We start from the raw sequence: 22,199 nt of genomic DNA on the forward strand, positions 1-22,199 counted from the left end.
AGCTAAAACTATTAGAGCCTATGCTCTATAACTATTAAGAGACAATATATACAAAATGTTTGAGTTACTCTTGTCCTCACAAGCAATGCTCGATGTTCTAGTATATGGAGAAGTCATCAATATGTGCTATTCAAGAAAAGGGTCAGGAGTACACAGTGGCAACAGCCTCAACTTCTGCCTATGGTTCCACATTATTGCATCTCCCAAGTGAATGGGCTTTGGCTTCAGCCCCTTGTCATCTCAGTGCCACAGGAGAGCTAAAGAAGGGAAAGCAGAGGGGGAATGCCATTTTATGTCATGGAGTACAGGGCTCACAAACAGGCTTTAGCTCAACATGCCAAATCTGATGGATTTTCTCTAGTGGCTGTCCTGGCTCTAACTGGAAAAGGATTCTGAGGTTGTATCTGGGCTTAGGCAGGAAGAGAGGTGAAATCTATTAGCAACATTTGCCAGTACTTTGGAAGGAGATGCTATCAGCTCATGAGGAATTTTCCAGCTTGGGGCCCTGTAACAGTTAAAAGTGTGGACTTTGAGGCCAAACTGATCTAGGTTCAAATACCACAGCTATACTACCTACAATCTCTGTCACACTGGGAAATTTACTTAACCTCCCTAAGATTCGATTTTCTCCTCTCTCAAGTAGGGATAACTAATATTATCCAAAAGAGCTGATATAAAGATTAAATAAAATAATGTATGGAAAGTGTCTTGCTGATTTCATGCCATAGAGTAAAAGCTACCAGAATGACAACTGTGGCTATGATAGTCATAGTATCCCTAGCCACAGTAGTAGCAGTAGCAGAAGTATCAGCACTAAGTTGATAGTATCAGCAGCAACAGTCTCATAGTTATGGTAACAGTAGTAACAGTCGTAATATTAGTACAAAAGTAATTTAAGGACAGGCCTGATTTTTTTTCTGGTATGGATTAGACATGAAAATTAATGAGAGAGAGAGAGAGAGAGAGAGAGAGAGAGAGAGAGAGAAAGTGCACCATGTTCTGATTAGCTAAGTAAACTGGAATCAGAAGCCACCTCTGGAGCTTATAGTCCACAGGTAGGTAATCATCATTCAGTTGAGGTGACTCCCTCAGCCCTAGAGAGGTTTGCTTTTCTCTCTTGGTGCTCTCAGTAGTGTGGCATGTGCCATATATATTGTACTGAAACTGTGCTGACACTCCTGAGGCGAAGGGTATAGCTTGAGCTCTCCAAGAAAGAGATGAGGCAATGATGTGTGGTCAGGTATTACTGAAAATATTTCAAAGGCAAAGAAAACAGAAATGGAGGGATGGCTACTGTCCCTTGAGCCAATTCATTATCCCACTGGTACTGGCCCTTATGATCCTGCTTTTTGAGTGGCACCGAACGGTGAGTTATCATGTGTCTTGAAGAGTTGAGAGAATGTGTGATGAGTAAGAAAAACGGAGTTCAGGAGCAGTTCAATGTTGAGAACACAGGTGGTGACTATGTTCCCTTTGGATTCTGGAGCCACTAAGTGTAACAGAGTAGGTTTCAGAGAATCAAAGATCATGGATGTTTTACAAAGGCTCTGTGCTTCAGTTAAAAGACAGTTCAATTTGTTAGAGAAATAATGGCCAGCTTCACACAAATAGTGGAAAAAGAACAAATTCAGGAGGAGGAGTTTAAAAGAATTTTAAAGAGCACTTTCGGTGGAATACTAAAGGAATAGCAGCTATAGGTCATAGACTTTTATTCCTGGAATAAACCTTTGAGATCATTTAATCCAACATCATTATTTACAGATTAATAAACGCACATCTTGTGAATAACAGCATGCGGAAAGAGCTTTTAAAATCAGGAGTTATTGTACTAAAGAGAGAGAAGGAGTCCAGAAATGGACACGCAGACTGTGGCGTCATCTAAGTACAAGTAGTAATTGAACTCATCTATGATGATACAGAGGGAAGAGATCCATTTCAGCTTCCAAGCAAAACATATAGACAGTGACACACCCATAATGAAATGGCCAAATGGATACCACCCAAACATAGATAACTATATGGCCCAAACAATGTGAATAAATTGAGGAAATTGGATGGCTATATTTCACATTTTTTGGCGTATCAAGTGAACTTTAATTACTTTTTGCTCCTGGGATAAATTTTTCTATCTCTCAAAGATTCTTAAGGAAAGAAAGGCAGATTCAAAATTTGCAGTGTTTTTGGGAGGCCGAGGTAGGCAGATCACTTGAGGCCAGGAGTTGAAGACCAGCCTAGCCAACATGGTGAATCCACTCTACTAAAAATACAAAAATTAGCTAGGCACACCTGTAGTCCCAGCTACTCGGGGTATGAGAATTGCTTGAACCCAGGAGGCAGAGGTTGCAGTGAGCTGAGATCCCGCCACTGCACTTCAGCTTGGGCAACAGAGCGAGACTCAGTCTCAAAAATAAATAAATAATAAATAAATAAATATTTTTTAAAAATTGTACAATGTGATACCATTTGGCCAAAACATATAAATACATAAAGAAAAAAGAGTATAAGAAAGGTTAAATAGGTCTAGTGGTGAACCAAATACTTATGATTACATTAAAGAATGCAAAAATAATCATTCTTGAAAGCAAAGCTAAATGAGTTAAAATAGTATTTAATATTAAACAATATGGATCTACAGTGACAAATAATTCCAACAAAATTCATAAGATGGGTCTACAAGAGGGAGGAATGAAAAAGAAGCTAATGACCTCAATTTAGATGGGATTCAAATAATTGCATTTATTTTGTGACACTGATAATTAGAGATATACAGGTTGCACATATTCTATAATTTAACAGTGAAATCATAATAAAAAATACATTCAGTGTTTCTAGAGACAAAGCAGCCCAAAAAATAACTAGTAGTAGTTATGAGCACTGACTACTAATGTATCAGGTACTTTTAAAACATTTATTCCTACAACCCTCTCGATAACCCTACCAAATGGGTACTATTTTTATCCCTATTTTTCAAGTTTTAAAAATGAGGATATTTAGGCACAAAGAATTTAAGAGCTTCTGATTCTTGAAATATTGAAATGGGACCCATGCCCGACTAGGCATATGCTTGAGCTTATGGTCTTAACCAATATTCTACACATGGATCAAAAGATGAACACCAGTAAGAATACTAGGAAGCTGTTTAAAAAAAATAAATGAAGACATCAGAAGATAAAATATATTAGTATGAAAATTAACAAATTTGTTAAACTAATTTAAAAATATTTTAGCAATAGAATTATATATTATTTAGAAGAGATAATATATAGAACAAAATGTTCAGAAGTATTAAAAATAAAAGGATGGCAAATATGTATCAGGAAATTGAAAGAAAAAATAGAAAGCATTAAATGCAGATTGCAATAAATAAAAAATAAAGCAACACTACACTAATCAAAGGTATAATCCACAATAAAATATAATAGTCAAGCAATGCTGTCCAATAGAACTTTCTATGACAATGGAAATGTTCTATACTTGTTCAGTCCAAAATGGTAGCTACTAGGCACATGGGGTTTTTGAGCACTGGAAATTCAACTAGAGTATCATATAAACTGAATTTAAAATTTTATTTAATTCTAATTAATTTAAATGTAAAAAGTCACATGTGGTGAGTGCCTACCATAATGGACAGTGTATGTCTAGGTCTCTGTAGAAATATATATGAAGTAATGTTGCTACAATTAAACAGAGTTTAAGAGAAGCATATTTCAGTGTTTTATTATAAAACAATTCTGAAATATTCAATAGACCAAAACAAAATACAATATAGAAAAACTGAATAATTTAATTGCTAAAATTACTTAATAGTTACATATAGAACTTTGCCTCAAGGAATGTGTATTCACATTCAAGGATGTTTACAAATTGTCACCCACAAATAGCCTATTTTTAGATTTCCCCAAAGTAGACATTTTACCAGCTACAATGTAATGACTTAGAAATTTATAACAAAATTTTAGGCAAATATACACCAACAAAAAAAAAAACAAATTGGAAATTTTAGAAGCATTAATCTAAATTTGTGCACGTATATAATGTAAATAAGCTCTACAATTAAAGACAATTACAACATATCAAGATAAACAGGTTGTGGTAAAATTGTACACAAAGGTAACTTCATAACATTTTATTGAAATTAATCAATAAAATAGTGGAAATAAATGAGCTAAGTCACTTACTAAGAGAACAAGATTATAAGAAAAGTCAAGAAAGGAAATAATAAAGATAAAAGGCAAAATTAATGAATTGGAAAATAGAACAAAGTAATAATTTCAAAACCAAATACCTGAGAAATTGAAAGATTAAAAAAAAATACAGGAAAACCCTCAGTATAGTTTTAGGAAACAAAACTGAGAAATATCAAACACCAAAATGTAGAAATGAGAAAGGGAATATAAAAAACAGTCATGGAGGCTGGGTGCGGTGGCTCACGCCTGTAATTCCAGCAGTTTGGGAGGCCAAGGAAGGCGGATTACCTGAGGTCCGGAGTTCGAGACCAGCCTGGCCAACATGGTGAAACTCCATCTCTACTAAAAATACAAAAATTAGTCAGGCATGGTGGTGGGTGCCTGTAATCCCAGCTACTCGGGAGGCTGAGGCAAAAGAATCACCTGAGCCCAGGAGGTGGAGGTTACAGTGAGCAGAGATCACGCCACTGCACTACAGCCTGGGCGACAGAGTGAGTCCCTGTCTCAAAAAAAAAAAAAGAAAAAAGAAAGAAAAAAGAAAAAAAGCAGTCACAGAGATGCTTTTAAAAATATTATTATAATCATATGCTAAAACATTTTGAAATCTGACTAAATGGATTATTTCTAGCAAAGTAAAAGTTACCAACATTGACTTGAGAAGAAATAAGAAAACTTCTGGCTATAACAGTAACTTCTAAAACTATGATTATTACAAATTATCTCCAAAAAATCCACCATGTCCATAGAGCTTTACAGATGAGTTCTATCAAGTTTTCAAGAGACAGAATACTGTTGCTCTAGAAACATTTCAGACCATGAGAAATGTAGAAACGTAAGACTGATTAAAAATCTGACAAGGAAAGATTATAGAAAAAATGATAGACTAAGCTATTCTTAAATTCATAGGCAAAAATCAACATTGAATTGAAGCAAATCAAGACTATTAAGACAGCTGCTGAGGCCAGGCCTGGTGGCTCACTCCTATTAATCCCAGCACTTTGGAAGGCCAAGGCAGGGGGATTGCTTGAGCCCAGGAGTTCAAGACCAGCCTGGGCAACACAGTGAGACCTCCTCACTACTAAAATGTTAAAAAAGTAGCCAGGCATGGTGGCACACACCTGTAGTTCTAGCTACTCAGCAGGTTGACGTGGGAGGACGACTTGACTCTAGGAGGTGGAGGCTGCATTGAGCCATGTTCGTGCCATTGCACTCCAGCCTGGGCAATAGAGTGAGACCCTGTCTCAAAAACAAAAAAACAAACAAACAAAAAAAAACCACCAAACGATCTGCTGTATATTGAAAAATGACACACCTTGGAAACATAAAATTTACCTAGGATTTAGTACTAGAAATTTTACTACTTTGATTAAGCACTTGAATATGTCAAAGGAGAAAAATATTATTTCAAGTAGATACTAAACAAACATTTGTGTACAAAAGATTTGAAAAGACACTTCAAAAGTAAAATATACAGAGAGCAAAAAAAAAACCCATAAAAAGGTGCTTGACATCACTAGTCATTAAGGAAATGCTAATCAAAATTACAATGGGACACAATTACACACCTATTAAAATAACTAAATTTTAAAAATTAACCATACCAGGTGTTGGTGGTGAGAATGCAGAGAAACTGGAACTCTCACAGACTGCTGGTGGGAGTATAAAATGGCACAACCACTTTGGAAAACAATTTGGCAGGTCCTTTAAAAGTTAATTATACATCTCCCATACACTCCAGCCATTCCAAGAGAAAAGAAAGTATATATCCATAAGAAAGACTTACACATAAATTACCAACCCAGTTTTCAATAGTCCAAAACTGGAATCAGCCCAAACGTCCATTAGTGGTTGGATAGATAAACAAATTGTGGCATACCCATACAATGGAACACTATTCAGCAATAAAAAGGAATTAATTACTTATATAAGCAACCATATAGGTGAACCCAAAATAATTATCCTGAAAGAAGCCAGACTAAAAGAGAGTACACACTGTATAATTCAATTTATATGAAATTCTAGAAATTACAAACTAGTCTATAATGACAGAAAGCATGTCAGTGGTTGCTTGGGGATAGGAGACAGAGAGGGGCTAGAGGGAGGGGTTGAAAAACACAAGGTAACTTTTGGAGGTGATGAGTATATTCATCATGTTGATTTTAATGATAATTTCACAGGTGTATACATATGTCAAAAGTTACCTAATTATACAGTTTAACTGTGTGTACTTCATTGTGTGTCAATTGTACCTTTTAACAAAAGGATGGAAGTGAAAGAATAAAAAAAGATTTAACAGAAACATTCTGAAAGAACACTAGTACACACTAGCTAGAATAGACTTGACAGCAAAAGAGATTTCAAGGTAAAGAGGCTCTTCATAAAGTGGTAAATGAAAAATTCACCAGGAATATGTAAAGATCCCAAATGTGTGTGCATTCAACAGAGTAGCATCAAAATATATAAAGCAAAAAATGGAAAGTACTACTAGGAGAAATTGTGGAAATGATACTCATAGTAATACAAAGGAAGATGACTCTCTCAGAAATCAAGTATATAGCAAGGAAATAGAAGACTTTGACAACACAATTAACAAACCTTAATTAATTGAAACAGAAAATTTCTGCACCCACCTAAGACAATTGAGCTTATTTTCAAATATTCATGGAACATTTACAATAATGACCATGTAATAGTTCACGAAGAATATCTCAACACCAAAGAACTAATATCATACAGCCCATGTTTTCTAATCACAATTCAGTAACATACAGCTAAAAAATCGTATTTAAATAATAATAAAAATACAGTAGGGATCTAAAAATCACACATCGAGTTTCCAATCACACATATCAGCCTAGATACACACATGTTCACCTCTATACCTTCCCCAAACACTATTAAAATTACAGGGATATAAAAAGGCCAAAACTCACAAAGATAAAGAACTAGGGGGAAAAAAGCCACAGCCACTGTATTTTGGAAGCAGAAATAGAGATGAAATTTACAATGGTAATAAGAAAAACCCCAAAGCAGGACGATTCATACCATAGAACTCCGGAATCACTCAGGAATTAGAACCACTGGTTACCTTTAAAATTGGGTTACAGGTAAATGAAGGCAGAAATAAAGATGTTCTTTGAAACCAACGAGAACAAAGACACAACATACCAGAATCTCTGGGACACATTCAAAGCAGTGTGTAGAGGGAAATTTATAGCACTAAATGCCCACAAGAGAAAGCAGGAAAGATCTAAAATTGACACCCTAACATCATAATTAAAAGAATTAGAAAAGCAAGAGCAAACACATTCAAAAGCTAGCAGAAGGCAAGAAATAACTAAGATCAGAGCAGAACTGAAGGAAATAGAGACACAAAAAACCCTTCAAAAAATTAATGAATCCAGGAGCTGGTTTTTTGAAATGATCAACAAAATTGATAGACTGCTAGCAAGACTAATAAAGAAAAAAAGAGAGAAGAATCAAATAGACGCAATAAAAAATGATAAAGGGGATATCACCACTGATCCCACAGAAATACAAACTACCATCAGAGAATACTATAAACACCTCTACGCAAATAAACTAGAAAATCTAGAAGAAATCGATAAATTCCTCGACACATACACCCTCCCAAGACTAAACCAGGAAGAAGTTGAATCTCTGAATAGACCAATAACAGGCTCTGAAATTGTGGCAATAATCAATAGCTTACCAACCAAAAAGAGTCCAGGACCAGATGGATTCACAGCCGAATTCTACCAGAGGTACAAGGAGGAACTGGTACCATTCCTTCTGAAACTATTCTAATCAATACAAAAAGAGGGAATCCTCCCTAACTCATTTTATGAGGCCAGCAGCATCCTGATACCAAAGCCGGGCAGAGACACAACCAAAAAAGAGAATTTTAGACCAATATCCTTGATGAACATTGATGCAAAAATCCTCAATAAAATACTGGCAAACCGAATCCAGCAGCACATCAAAAAGCTTATCTACCATGATCAAGTGGGCTTCATCCCTGGGATGCAAGGCTGGTTCAATATACGCAAATCAATAAATGTAATCCAGCATATAAACAGAATCAAAGACAAAAACCATATGATTATCTCAATAGATGCAGAAAAGGCCTTTGACAAAATTCAACAACGCTTCATGCTAAAAACTCTCAATAAATTAGGTACTGATGGGACGTATCTCAAAATAATAAGAGCTATCTATGACAAACCCACAGCCAATATCATACTGAATGGGCAAAAACTGGAAGCATTCCCTTTGAAAACTGGCACAAGACAGGGATGCCCTCTCTCACCACTCCTATTCAACATAGTGTTGGAAGTTCTGGCCAGGGCAATTACGCAGGAGAAGGAAATAAAGGGTATTCAATTAGGAAAAGAGGAAGTCAAATTGTCCCTGTTTGCAGATGACATGATTGTATATCTAGAAAACCCCATTGTCTCAGCCCAAAATCCCCTTAAGCTGATAAGCAACTTCAGCAAAGTCTCAGGATACAAAATCAACGTGCAAAAATCACAAATATTCTTATACACCAATAACAGACAAACAGAGAGGCAAATCATCAGTGAACTCCCATTCACAATTGCTTCAAAGAAAATAAAATACCTAGGAATCCAACTTACAAGGGACATGAAGGACCTCTTCAAGGAGAACTACAAACCACTGCTCAATGAAATAAAAGAGGATACAAACAAATGGAAGAACATTCCATGCTCATGGGTAGGAAGAATCAATATCGTGAAAATGGCCATACTGCCCAAGGTAATTTATAGATTCAATGCCATCCCCATCAAGCTACCAATGACTTTCTTCACAGAATTGGAAAAAACTACTTTAAAGTTCATATGGAACCAAAAAAGAGCCCGCATCGCCAAGTCAATCCTAAGCCAAAAGAACAAAGCTGGAGGCATCACGCTACCTGACTTCAAACTATACTACAAGGCTACAGTAACCAAAACAGCATGGTACTGGTACCAAAACAGAGATATAGATCAATGGAACAGAACAGAGCCCTCAGAAATAACGCCGCATATCTACAGCTATCTGATCTTTGACAAACCTGAGAAAAACAAGCAATGGGGAAAGGATTCCCTATTTAATAAATGGTGCTGGGAAAACTGGCTAGCCATATGTAGAAAGCTGAAACTGCATCCCTTCCTTACACCTTATACTAAAATTAATTCAAGATGGATTAAAGACTTAAATGTGAGACCTAAAACCATAAAAACCCTAGAAGAAAACCTAGGCAATACCATTCAGGACATAGGCATGGGCAAGGACTTCATGTCTAAAACACCAAAAGCAATGGCAACAAAAGACAAAATTGACAAATGGGATCTAATTAAACTAAAGAGCTTCTGCACAGCAAAAGAAACTACCATCAGAGTGAACAGGCAACCTACAAAATGGGAGAAAATTTTCGCAACCTACTCATCTGACAAAGGGCTAATATCCAGAATCTACAATGAACTCCAACAAATTTACAAGAAAAAAACAAACAACCCCATCAAAAAGTGGGCGAAGGACATGAACAGACACTTCTCAAAAGAAGACATTTATGCAGCCAAAAAACACATGAAAAAATGCTCACCATCACTGGCCATCAGAGAAATGCAAATCAAAACCACAATGAGATACCATCTCACACCAGTTAGAATGGTAATCATTATAAAGTCAGGAAACAACAGGTGCTGGAGAGAATGTGGAGAAATAGGAACACTTTTACACTGTTGGTGGGACTGTAAACTAGTTCAACCATTGTGGAAGACAGTGTGGTGATTCCTCAGGGATCTAGAACTAGAAATACCATTTGACCCAGCCATCCCATTACTGGGTATATACCCAAAGGATTATAAATCATGCTGTTATAAAGACACATGCACACGTATGTTTATTGCGGCACTATTCACAATAGCAAAGACTTGGAACCAACCCAAATGTCCAACAATGATAGACTGGATCAAGAAAATGTGGCACATATACACCATGGAATACTATGCAGCCATAAAAAATGATGAGTTCATGTCCTTTGTAGGGACATGGATGAAATTGGAAATCATCATTCTCAGTAAACTATCACAAGGACAAAAAACCAAACACCGCATGTTCTCACTCATAGGTGGGAATTGAACAATGAGAACACATGGACACAGGAAGGGGAACATCACACTCTGGGGACTGCTGTGGGGTGGGGGGAGGGGGGAGGGATAGCATTAGGAGATATACCTAATGCTAAATGAGGAGTTAATGGGTGCAGCACACCAGCATGGCACATGTATACATATGTAACTAACCTGCACATTGTGCACCTGTGCCCTAAAACTTAAAGTATAATAATAATAAAATAAAATAAAAATTAAAATAAAAAAATAAAATAAATTAAATTGGGTTACAGGTAAAATTGAAAATAGCACACAAATTAGCTGCATTTTAAAAAGCAGTTAGGGACATGTATCTCTTCCCTAACTCAAACAATCTGGAAACTACTCCCATTTCAGTAAAAGTCTGCAGACCTATTCTCTGGCAGTGATGAATCAAAGGAACCCTGGACTTGCGGCTGGTCAGAGAAAAGGATGCTGCACTGTAGACAGAACAATAAAGTAAAAATCTACTGCCTGATGAGTGAGATCCCACTGAGAAGCCAGCATTAAATATCCCAGGAGGGAGATGGAAAACTTCTCCCTGGGAAACTGAGCTCAAAGAAGAGGCTCAAAGCTACTGAGATTTGTACCCCCCACCTGACCCAGATAACTCATCCCAGTGATCCTACATTAAAGTCCACACTCTATAAGGCCCTCCTCCCCCAACATCCACACAGGAATCCAGAGCTATCAATTAGCTCTTTTTTACATGGTGGAAGCAAAGGATCCTCAGACCTTCGAGAAAGCCTCTAATGTGAGTGATAGGTGAATACCAAAGAGGAATTGAAGAAAATAGAAGTAAATCAGTGAGAAGATACTTCAAAAAACTATAATATCATCCAAGAGATAAAAAAGATATGGCATTCAGGAAAGTAGAACAGGGTTTTATTTTTAAAAAGAAAGAAATAAAAATCAGATCATAGAAATTAAAATCATGATAACAGTAATTAAAATGTAGGAGAAGGATTAGAAATTTAGAAGAAGGATTAGAAGTTGACAATCTTGACCAGAAATTAAAACAAACAATTGGGAAAACTAGAGAGGAAGAGAAAAACATTAGAAAATAAGTTTAAGAGGTCTAAAATCCAAATTATTAGAAATTTCAGAAAGAGAGCAGAGAATAGTGTAGGGAGAAAAGTATATAAGAAATAATACAAAAATAAATTTCCTAAAATTTAAGAAATTTCCAGATTAAAAATTCCTGTCAAGTACCCAACACAACAGAGTCCTTCAGTGAGGTTAAGTACTACTCTGTTTTATTATATGGCTACAACATGGTGTACCATTAATAGTTAACTATATACCAGCAAGAAATACAGATAGAGATATTCCTGTCAAGGACCATCAAGATACATGAGGAAAGCATCCCAGAGCATCTTTGTATCATTATAGGATCAACTTCCCTATGTCACCATGAGGAAATACTCATAGAAATGTTCTGCCATATAATAAAAAAAGGACAAATACCATATGATTTCACTCATATGAGGTACTTATGGTATTCAAAATCATAGAGATAGAAAGTGGAATGGTGGCTGCCAAAACCTTGCTGGGAGGAAAGAAGGACAAGTTGTGTTTAATGGGTACAGAGTTTCAGTTTTGCCAGATGAGAAAAGTTCTGGAAATGGATGGGGATGGTGGTTGCACAACGATGCGAATGTATTTAATGCGACTACACTGTACACTTAAAAGGATTAAAATAGTAAATTTTGTTACACATATTTTACCACAATTAAAAAGCATTAAATAAGGTATTTGGGAGTTATTGGGAAGCAAAACATTCAAAATTTTTTCTTTTGTAAAATAAGGAAAGAATGAAAGAACACTTCTATTTAACATTCTCAACTGCATATATATTGATGTGCACACACATAAAAACATAATGTGTGTATAGCATTTTTCACTCAATATTTAACTTTGTTATTTCATACTGACTCCAAATTCATAGGTGTTTATGCAGATAATCACATGACTACATATAGTAACTCAGACTGTAATTTTACTAAAAATGGCTTTATGTTCATGGGTGGTTATACTTAACCTAGCATCTTTTGTCTTATAATTACATAGCTTAAAATAAATGACTAATGTGCAGACATTAAAAATGAAAAACAGAAATATAGCTGGGTGGTCAGACAAGCTTTGCATTATTTAAAGAGAATGTTCCGGAATGGTAAATTTATAATAGCATATGTTCAGAATACAAAACAATGAAAAATATCCCCCCTTTATAGTTTTCTGCTTACAAACATCTCTTCTTATCTCTCTCTTCTCCTATTATCCTCTTATCGGGTTAGAAACAAACTTTGAAAAGTTATCTTCTACTCTATCACAGCTTTGAATGAGGATCAGTATTACACCATACTATTTATAGCCTCTAAGCAGGGAGATTTTCTGAGCTCGCTGATAACTTAGGTCTGCTTGAACTATCTTCTCTTAAGTAATCAAAGCTCTTTATTTCTTTCCCACTTTGCATTTAGTGGAAAAAGAAACAGTTGAAGTCTATGTTTTAGGTTCAAATTATTTTTTAATGTACTCATTGAAGAAACATTTTAAAGTAGATTATCGCTAAAAACAATAGTCTTGTATACCATATGAAACCATGTATGTGCCATTCTAGATAAGGAAAAACTTTCGTTGACAGAGAAAAGATCAGTAGCAGTTGTCTGGGGTCAGGGGTGAGAAGAGGAGATTCACTGTGAAAGGCCATAAGGGAACTTCTTAAAAAAAAAAAAATTCAGTAGTTTTAGTAGTACAAGCGCTTTTTGGTTACATGGATAAATTGCACAATGGTGAAGTCTGGGCTTTACTGTATACCCATCACCTGAAGAGTGTACATTGTACCCAATAGGTAATTTTTCATCCCTCACATGGAACTTCTTGATTGAGGTGCTGGTAACCAATTGTACACAATACCACAATGTATCACATTGTACACTAAAAATGGGTGAATTTTATTGTGTGTAAATAATATCTTAATTTTAAGAATTGCTTTGTTAAAAAAATACCAACCCTGTAGTCTCACTACTAAAACACTATCAGTATTAATACATTGGTGTGTTTTCCAACACCATTTCTCACAGACACTTATTTCTTCATTTGTAAACATAATTTGGATGATATAGTTTTTTGTAGCTTGTTTTTATTGTAAGCACTTGTTACATTACATGGTCTTGGAAAACAATCATTTTCAATGGCTACCTAATATTCAATCAAGTAATAGGAATTACTGAATGGTCAAAACTATTTAACCACTTGTCTATTGATAGCCACATTGGTTGTCACCAATTATTTAGTTACATAACTATTACTGAGAAAAAAATTTTGTGCACGAAGTTCTTTTTTTCTATAGGCTTCAAAATTCAGAAGTATTTTTAGGATATATTTCCAGAAGTACAATATTGAGCCAAAGGGTATAAACATTTTTTTTTTTTTTTTTGAGACAGAGTCTTGCTCCGTCACCAGGATGGAGTGTAGTGGTGCGATCTTGGCTCACTGCAACCTCCGCTTCCCAGGTTCAAGCAATTCTCCTGCCTCAGCCTCCCGAGTAGCTGGGATTACAGGCGTGTGCCACCATGCCCAGCTAATTTTTCTATTTTTAGTAGAGATGGGGTTTCACCATGTTGATCAGATTGGTCTGGATCTCGTGATCTCATGATCCACCCGCCTCGGCCTCCAAAAGTGCTGGGATTACAGGCATGAGCCACAGTGCCTGGCCAGGTATAAACAGTTTTAAGGCTCTTGCCAAACTCTAGATTCTTGCCAAAAAAGCCATACTAATTTACACTGCTTCCAGCAACGCTTAATGACCTTGTCACCTCCCCAGAGTTGGATATATTATTTTTTTAATCTTAAAGACTTCCTAATGACCTCTCCCCACAACCTTTCAGCCATAATTACCTCCTCCATTTTTGTGTGTGTGTGTGTCAAGCTTTTAACAACTTTTCCTTTTTTGGTCCCTTTCATTCCTCATTTTCTCTTCCTTCTTCCCTCCTCTCATCCACCAGGTCCCCTTACCTCTCCCACTGGTTTCTACTATAATTGATGTTTTTCTTCCTTATTGAGTGGAAAACCTCCACTGTAATATAAATTGGGAAGGAAGCTGTTGCTTTGACCAAAACAGAACTTAAGGCATGAGAAAAACCAAAACAAAACAGCTCTTCCCTGGAACATAGCATGGCCAGAGAAACCAAAAGCATTTCAAAACCAAACTGGAGTGTCAGAGACCAGATATTGAAGACTGTCTTAGGGAGAGGGAGTCTGGGAGGGCAGAGCACTCAAGGAGACAGATGTGAAAGCTGTCAAACTTCCTGACTACATTCCTACATCAGGGGATAATGCTTGAAGGACAGCAAACCTTAGTCTGATGGTTATATCTTCCCAGATGTAGAGACACAGGTTCTGACTGTGTCAGGGTCCATGGCCCCTGGACCTTTATATTGAGGCACCTGACCTGCTCTCAGGGTTGCATGACCCCTTGAATAACAGAGGGAAGTGTTAAGGGCAACATGATTTTGTGTCATGGGAAGTCAGGGACCCCGAACAGAGGGACCAGCTGAAGCCACAGCAGAAGAACATAAATTGGGAAGATTTCATGGACATTTATTAGTTCCCCAAATTAATACTTTTATAATTTCTTACACCTGTCTTTACTGCAATCTCTGAACATAAATTGTGAAGATTTCATGGACATTTATCACTTCCCCAATCAATATTCTTGTGATTTCCTATGCCTGTCTTTACTTTAATCTCTTAATCCTGTCATCTTCATAAACTGAGGAGGTATGTTGCCTCAGGACCCTGTGATGATTGTGTTAACTGCACAAATTGTTTAAACAATATGAAATCTGGGCACCTTAAGAACAGGATAACAGCGATTTTCAGGAACAAGGGAGATAATCTTAAAGTCTGGCTGCCTGTGGGCTGGGCAGGACAGAGCCATATTTCTCTTATTACCGAAAACAGGTAAGAGAAATATCACTGAATTCTTTCCCCAGTAAGGAATATTAATAATTAACAGCCCTGGGAAAAGAATGCATTCCCAGAGGGGGCCTCTAAAATGGCCGTCCTGGGAGTGTCTGCCTTATGCAGCTGTAGATAGGGATGAAACACGCCCTAGTCTCGTGCAGCGCCCCCAGGCTTGCTAGGATTAGGAAATTCCAGCCTGGCGAATTCTAGTCAGACCAGTTCTCTGCTCTTGAACCCTGACAATGCGTGCACAGCGGGACATGGAAGTTCATTAGTGATTCTAGTTTCGCCCTGACCTTCTGCCTTGTGATCTTTTGTTGCCCTTGAAGCATGTGATCTCTGTGACCCACACCCTATTCATGCACTCCCTCCCTTTTGAAAATTGCTAACAAAAACTTGCTGGTTTTATGGCTCAGGGGGCATCACGGAACCTGCCGGCATGTGATATCTCCCTCAGACACCCAGCTTTAAAATTTCTCTCTTTTGTACTCTTTCCCTTTATTTCTCAGACCGGCCGACACTTAGGGAAAATAGAAAAGGATCCACGTTGAATTATCAGGGGCGGGTTCCCCTGATAAGTTTGTGAAGGATTCAAGGATTCCAGCATGGTGTAGTGAAAGGAGCATGGACCTTTGAGGCAGACAGACCAGGTCTGACTTTGTAGTTCACCACTTACTAGTTCTTACACATGTTACTTACTTTCTCTGAACCTCTGTTTCCTCATCTGTGAAATATATTATCATTTCCTTTCTTAAATATTTCCCTTCTTAAATATTTCCTTTAAACAGCAAAAACCTGGGGACATAAGAGTAATCTGGCCCTAGTGGAACAAGCACACAATAATCAGCTAAAAGAATAAATAAATTCATAAATTTCCTTCCCCAGTTTGGACTCTAGGGTTAGTTATTTCACTGGCTCTCCTGAAAACCTTCAATTTGCCTATTATGCCCAATTCTGTCAACCTCCAACCCATAGTAGTCATTTGCTTTCACCATTCCTAAGTTTGTACTGAAGGCTGCTAAAAAAATTACATGAATGTTGTTGGTTACCATTATAAACGTATTTGTGATCCAGGGTATTTCTGTTTGCAATTCATTGGATATGTCACCATGAAAAATGCCAGGTAAATATAAGATGAAAAGGCATGGGATTTGATATTGATGGTGAATTCTTATATCAGCAATTAGAGTGCAGGGCTCTTTCCCCTTTGGATCTAGAAGTGGGCAGGAGAAGAGTATAGAGATGATTCCAGGCAGGATGGGACAAAATGGTAATAGCACATTAAAGGAACTGAGAATAATTCTTACTCCTGGAGAAATCTTTCACAAGGTGGAGAACTGTTGTGTGTCTGTAGAAGAATCTGGGGAATCCAATATTCAAAAATCACAGATGAGGAACTGAAGAACTCAAGAGCTAAATATCTAGAAGTAGGGACTAAGCCAACTCTAGTTTTTTAAGCTGTTGCCAATGCTGAAAGTCATTGAAGGATTGTGAATAAAATTTCCTAGTTAGAAATCATAATTGTTAACTTCTGAAAAGAAAGGTTTCTGTACATGTGCCAAATGTTTCCATTCATGTGAACATATAAATTTGAATGTTGTTCTGTGGATCACCTGTTGAAAGCTCAAACTAAGGTGTCTGGACTGTCAGTATTATGCTCGTTTGGTTGCCTTACCAGAAATCCTTGAGTGTAATAATTACCTAAGGAAATTTTTCATGCTGTCTGCAGTGATTTATCACAAGGAATTGTTTGGTGGTTTTACCACTTAGAAATCTATAAAGGAAATGAAGACTGTTCACTTTCTGCAGAAAACCTAACCCATGTACTTAATGCTTACTCTATTGTATTTATTTTATGTACATTATACACTCTTCTAAAACCTTGAACATAGGGGTTTCAAGATGAATTAGTGGCAGTACCCACTGAACACAGTTAACGTTCCGATGTATGCTATGTGGAATATTCCAGTGAAAGAAAAATATTTTTAAAGGTAATAGCAGGACCTTCATGTTAAGATGAAGTAAAAGAAGACATTAATTTCCAACAGTAGAAGACTCAAGTCTGCTTGAGTGTCGCTTCTAGTTTTCCTTCTACATCTTTGATGATCCTTTCCCAGTTTTCCGTCTTTTATACTGATTTCTTTCCATCCCCTTAAAATTACACCTCCCCAGCCCCTATCCAGATCTCTGCTCCTTTTTTCCCTACATACTCTCCCTTGTTTATTATATCTATGCCCATGACTCCAACTACCACTTAATTACTAATGATTTTGAATTTTATCTACAACATTGACTGCTCTATAAAATTCCAGATGTGTATTCCCAACTATTTCCTTCAAGTACTTAAAATTTGATGTCTAAAATTAACTTATCCTCTCACATTCACTTCAGGACTTGCTTTTTCCACTATAATTCCCATCTCAATAACTTTCATTACTATTCACCTAATAATGTAAATTGGAAAACTTGAGTTATCCCTATTTTTCTTCCTCATGACCCATTACTTTTTTTGTTTGTTTTTGGAGACAGAGTCTTGCTCTATCGCCCAGGCTGGAGTGCAGTGGCATGATCTCGACTCTTTGCAACCTCTGCCTCCCAGGTTCAAGTAATTCTCATGCCTCAGCCTCCTGAGTAGCTGGGATTACAGGCATCTGCCACCACACCCAGCTAATTTTTGTATTTTTAGTAGAGATGGGGTTTTGCAATGTTGCCGAGGGTGGTCTTGAACTCCTGAGCTCAGGCAATCCACCTGCTTTGGCCTCCCAAAATGTTAGGATTACAGGTGTGAGCCACTGCGCCAGCCCCATTAATTTCCATGTCATAAAGTCCTACTGATTGTCCTCTCTAGAGATCTCACAGATACACCTGCCAACCCCCCCATCACTCCCCCACCACATCTTCACTGTGACCATCTCATTAGGGCCTCATTATTTTTCACATGGACTATGGTATCAGCTTTCAAACTGGTCTTCCCACTATGAGCAATTCTTCATTCATGCCTCCTCCCAATACCACCAGGGTTCTTGCTTGAAAATAGAGACATCAAAATGTCTGTCAGTCTTTCAATTAAAACTTTCCCAAAGGTTCCCCATTGCTTATGGAGTAAAGTCTAGATAATTTAGAACTATATCCTAGTTTGTCCCCAAATCTGATATTAACTTTTCTTAATCTCATCTCCTTATATTACTCCCTACCTAACTACCAATGGTCACGTCAAAACCATCCCTATCACACTCTAACTTAGCCTACTTCCTTAATTTCTTCTTTTCTTTGCACACCCTCTTCTTTCTGCCTTGGCCAAACCATAAATACCTACATATTTCTATCAGTCGAGGTCCTCAAGTCCAAACTATACTCATTCTAGCAAAAGGACATTTATTATAGGATACTGGTAGTTCACAAAACATATTGAGCGGTATGAAGAAGCTTACAAAGTTCCCAGAAGAGTCAGGGACTTTTGTGTACTCAGATGCCAAGAACAATACCCAAATACCCTAGCCTCCTCTTTCTGACTCAACATCACAGATTTCCCCACCCCTGCATTGCTCACACTAAAGCTCTACTTCTGTCTCCAAAAGGCAAACCCACACACCTACCACTTCCATTGCTCACCTATATATCAATGTCTCCTGTTTACCCCTCTGACTGCTGGAATCTAGGTAATAGGCAAGTGTTTAGCTCCAAGTGAGTCTGGTGAAGAAAGGTTTTTGCCTTCTATATTGGGGATGCAAGAAGTTTCCCAACCATTACAAGAGTGTTTAAACGGTCTAGGCAGCTAGAGAATCTGGCAACTACCCACAACATCCTTCCTCTTTGATGGCCAGATTTATATTTCCCTTCCAAAACTAATCACCAGATTCCTTCAGGCAATTGGCTCTCAATCTCATGAGGCATACCCCTGCCATGGCCCTCAGCATGCTGTACTGGAATTATGCATTTGCATTTCCCTCACTTATAAATTCCAAAAAAATCCTTGAGCATCATGGGTATGCCTGATCTTTCTTTACATTATTCTCTTCTCCTTATTTAACATATAGCCAATGTCTGGCAGATGGCAAGCACTTAATAAATTTTCTTTTTGGAAAAAGTGAGTAAAAATTGGAGTCATAATTCAAATGTTCTTTATCTGCAAATATTTTAGTGATATACCTTTAGCTGAATTCTTTTACTTAATATTCCCAATTCAAGGGAAGATTTTCAACTCTGCTGCAATAATATAGCATTTTAATACACAAAGTGTTTAACCAATACTAAAACCCTTTTAAATAGTATGTGGTTTTCTAATATGCCCTAGCAAAGCTGGAACTCTAGCATGAGTGTTCCCAAAGCTTAACAAAACACAAGCAATTTGAATTCAGGATTCCATGATGTCATTAACAAAGATGTGACTTTGAAACGGAAACAGAATAGTGGGGAAGATTTCTGAGAGGAGACTTCAACTGTAAAAGTCATTTTAAATGAATTCTATTTGTTTCGTTAATAATCATGGGATTTGCATTGATGTTACATTGCCTTTACTTTAAAGCAGTCTCCATGGATCTGCTGACAGCTTCATGAGCTGATTGTGACAACAGTCTATGTCCAATGAAAAGAAATGGGCAAGTAGGGAGTACGTATTTTTATAAGTGAACATAAAGAGAACAATGAATATGCAAGTTCCCTTTCTACCTTTGAAATATATATGCTTAGCTTTTTGAAAGAAAATTTGGTCATTCAGAGCCAATTCAAGGTATTTAACGTCCATCTTTGATAGCCATTTAGTCTAAATTGTGAATCCATTAGTTCTGTGAGAAAAACAATTCACATAGAGCCTGAATGGTCCCTCCCTGCCCCTGTTCCCTAAGTTGTGGCCCTAATTCCATGGCTCTACAGTCTTGTAGAGTAGACAATGTATGTGAGGGATGAGGGGTGGTGTAGGGGAGACATAACACAACAAATACCAAATATATTAGAAAACACTTGCTTGAAAAATGTGCATCTCAGATCCACCTTGATCATTGAGAATAAAGGAAAAAACAAAGTCAATTTTTATATTCAAACCCACTCTTCTCCCCACATTTTTAAAGATGAAAACAAAAGAAAATGAGAAACTCAACACTGAGCCAAGATCATTCATTCTCTCTCAAGTAACAAAACTTCTTTAATATGAAAGGAAAACCATACTAACTTCCCTATCCTAAAGGCACTTACTGTATTCATGAGCTTTTCATTAAAGAGAAGAAAGAATCTAGTTCAAATTCCTACAATATTTATCATCACAGGCACTATACAGGGCTAGTTTAAACGTACTGAGAGCATTTCAGTTACAATATAGATAATCCGCTTTCCAATTATAACAGCTCAGTTTAATTTCATGGTAGACTTGGCGAGTGAGGAAGGATAGACAGGCATTCATCCATAGTCTTGATACAGTTCTTGGCTTAATTTCACCAATATACAGGGTGAGCTATGAGGAACCATTAATTAATGTCCAAAAGACCATGTGGAAGATGGATGTTTATTCAATGAAATGACTATTTTCTCAGCCTGTTTCCACACTGTGTGAATAAGGATTTTCCATCAAATGAAGAAAAGAGAACTTTTCAGAAATGTCTGTGCTTCTAAACATTAGGCTGAAATTCAGACAGTTCTCCTAATAAATTCTGACAGTGTTTATACATGTTTTTAATCTAATCATTTATGTATTCTTTTTTCTTCTAAAATAATTAATCTGTTAATGCTTGTAGCTTTGGCAAATAGCAGAATTGTGTTTTTACAGCTATGGTTGCCCCAGCCTATACATAGTTGTCACTTCTGTTTTCCTACAATACTTCAGCACTAGATTTCTCTTCCTCACCCTTTCATCTGCATCCTTCCTTGCTCTATTTTTCTTCCTTTTTCTCTTTCCCTCTCTTCTGTTCTTCTACCTTTCTCCATTAGCTATTATCATAATATAGAACTGAGATGTTTTTATTTATGAAATATCTTGCACCTTAAATAAAGTGGAAACCATGATAATACTAACTACGTTGGGTTCTTGTGAGGATTAAATAATATACATAAAATGCTTAGAACAATGCCAAGGAGAGATGAAAAGCTATGTAAGGATAAGTTAGCAAGAATTATCTTGATTTTTGGTAGTTATTGAATAACATTTTATAATCCTTGTTATTAATTTAGAAGAGAATGTGTAAACAATGGTTTTTCATCTATTGAGGACAGCAACAAAAGCTCTACCCTACACCCCAGAAAACTGCCTATATACACAACATTTTGCACATTACATCAGAGCTCTCATCGATATCTTTCATCCCTCTATTGACTCCTTAGTTGCCCATAAACCTTACTTAAGAAACTCTGCTCGATAGAGAAAAAGTTTTCCTACCCTGACTAGTACCAGATTACACAAATGAAAAACAAGCTATGTGCTTAGAACACTACCAAGCGGGTGGGAGAGAGGGTAGAGGAGGGAGAGAGAGGGCTCTTTGAAAAAAATTGGTTATTGATACTTCTATAAATAAATAAAATATTTACCATGGGGAAAAAAGTAAGACAATGTGGCATGTTTTTGTACTTCTTTTAGGGTTTGGCATTATTTTATTTTGCATTACATTGGAGGAGTTCATTTTTTTAGGTGTCAGAGCCATGATCCATCCATACCCTGCCTGAAGACTGAAAATGGTGTGGTCAAGTGGAAACAGCAGAGATTCTGCAAGCAAGAGAACTGGAGTTTGTGTTTGGATTCTCTTTTTCCACTTCCTTGCTTTGGACAAGGCACTACATCTCTCAGAACCCTTGCTTCCTTGGCTCTCTGAGGGTAAGATCACCTACCTCTTATGCTTATTGGGGAGAATACAAGATCGGTGTGGTAAGGTGCTTAATAGTTACAGGTTCCCTTGACTTTGTTTTT

The 22,199-nt window shown here is 36.9% G+C and overlaps 1 long non-coding RNA gene across 1 annotated transcript in view, besides 1 other annotated feature; it reads right to left on the bottom strand.

Moving 5' to 3' along the window:
- The window catches only part of HCCS-DT (HCCS divergent transcript), a 263,596-nt gene that overhangs the window by 144,281 nt on the left and 97,116 nt on the right, over positions 1 to 22,199 (bottom strand). The window lies entirely within an intron of this gene.
- Positions 15,306 to 15,817: an enhancer, noted in NCBI's record as "OCT4-NANOG hESC enhancer chrX:11025249-11025760 (GRCh37/hg19 assembly coordinates)". NCBI's record gives its function as "activates a minimal SCP1, AML or CMV promoter by ChIP-STARR-seq in naive H9 embryonic stem cells {active_cell/tissue: H9 hESC(naive)}" and the evidence as "EXISTENCE:reporter gene assay evidence [ECO:0000049][PMID:30033119]".

The sequence above is a fragment of the Homo sapiens genome, chromosome X (genome assembly GCF_000001405.40).
Source record: "Homo sapiens chromosome X, GRCh38.p14 Primary Assembly".
Lineage (NCBI taxonomy): Eukaryota > Metazoa > Chordata > Mammalia > Primates > Hominidae > Homo > Homo sapiens.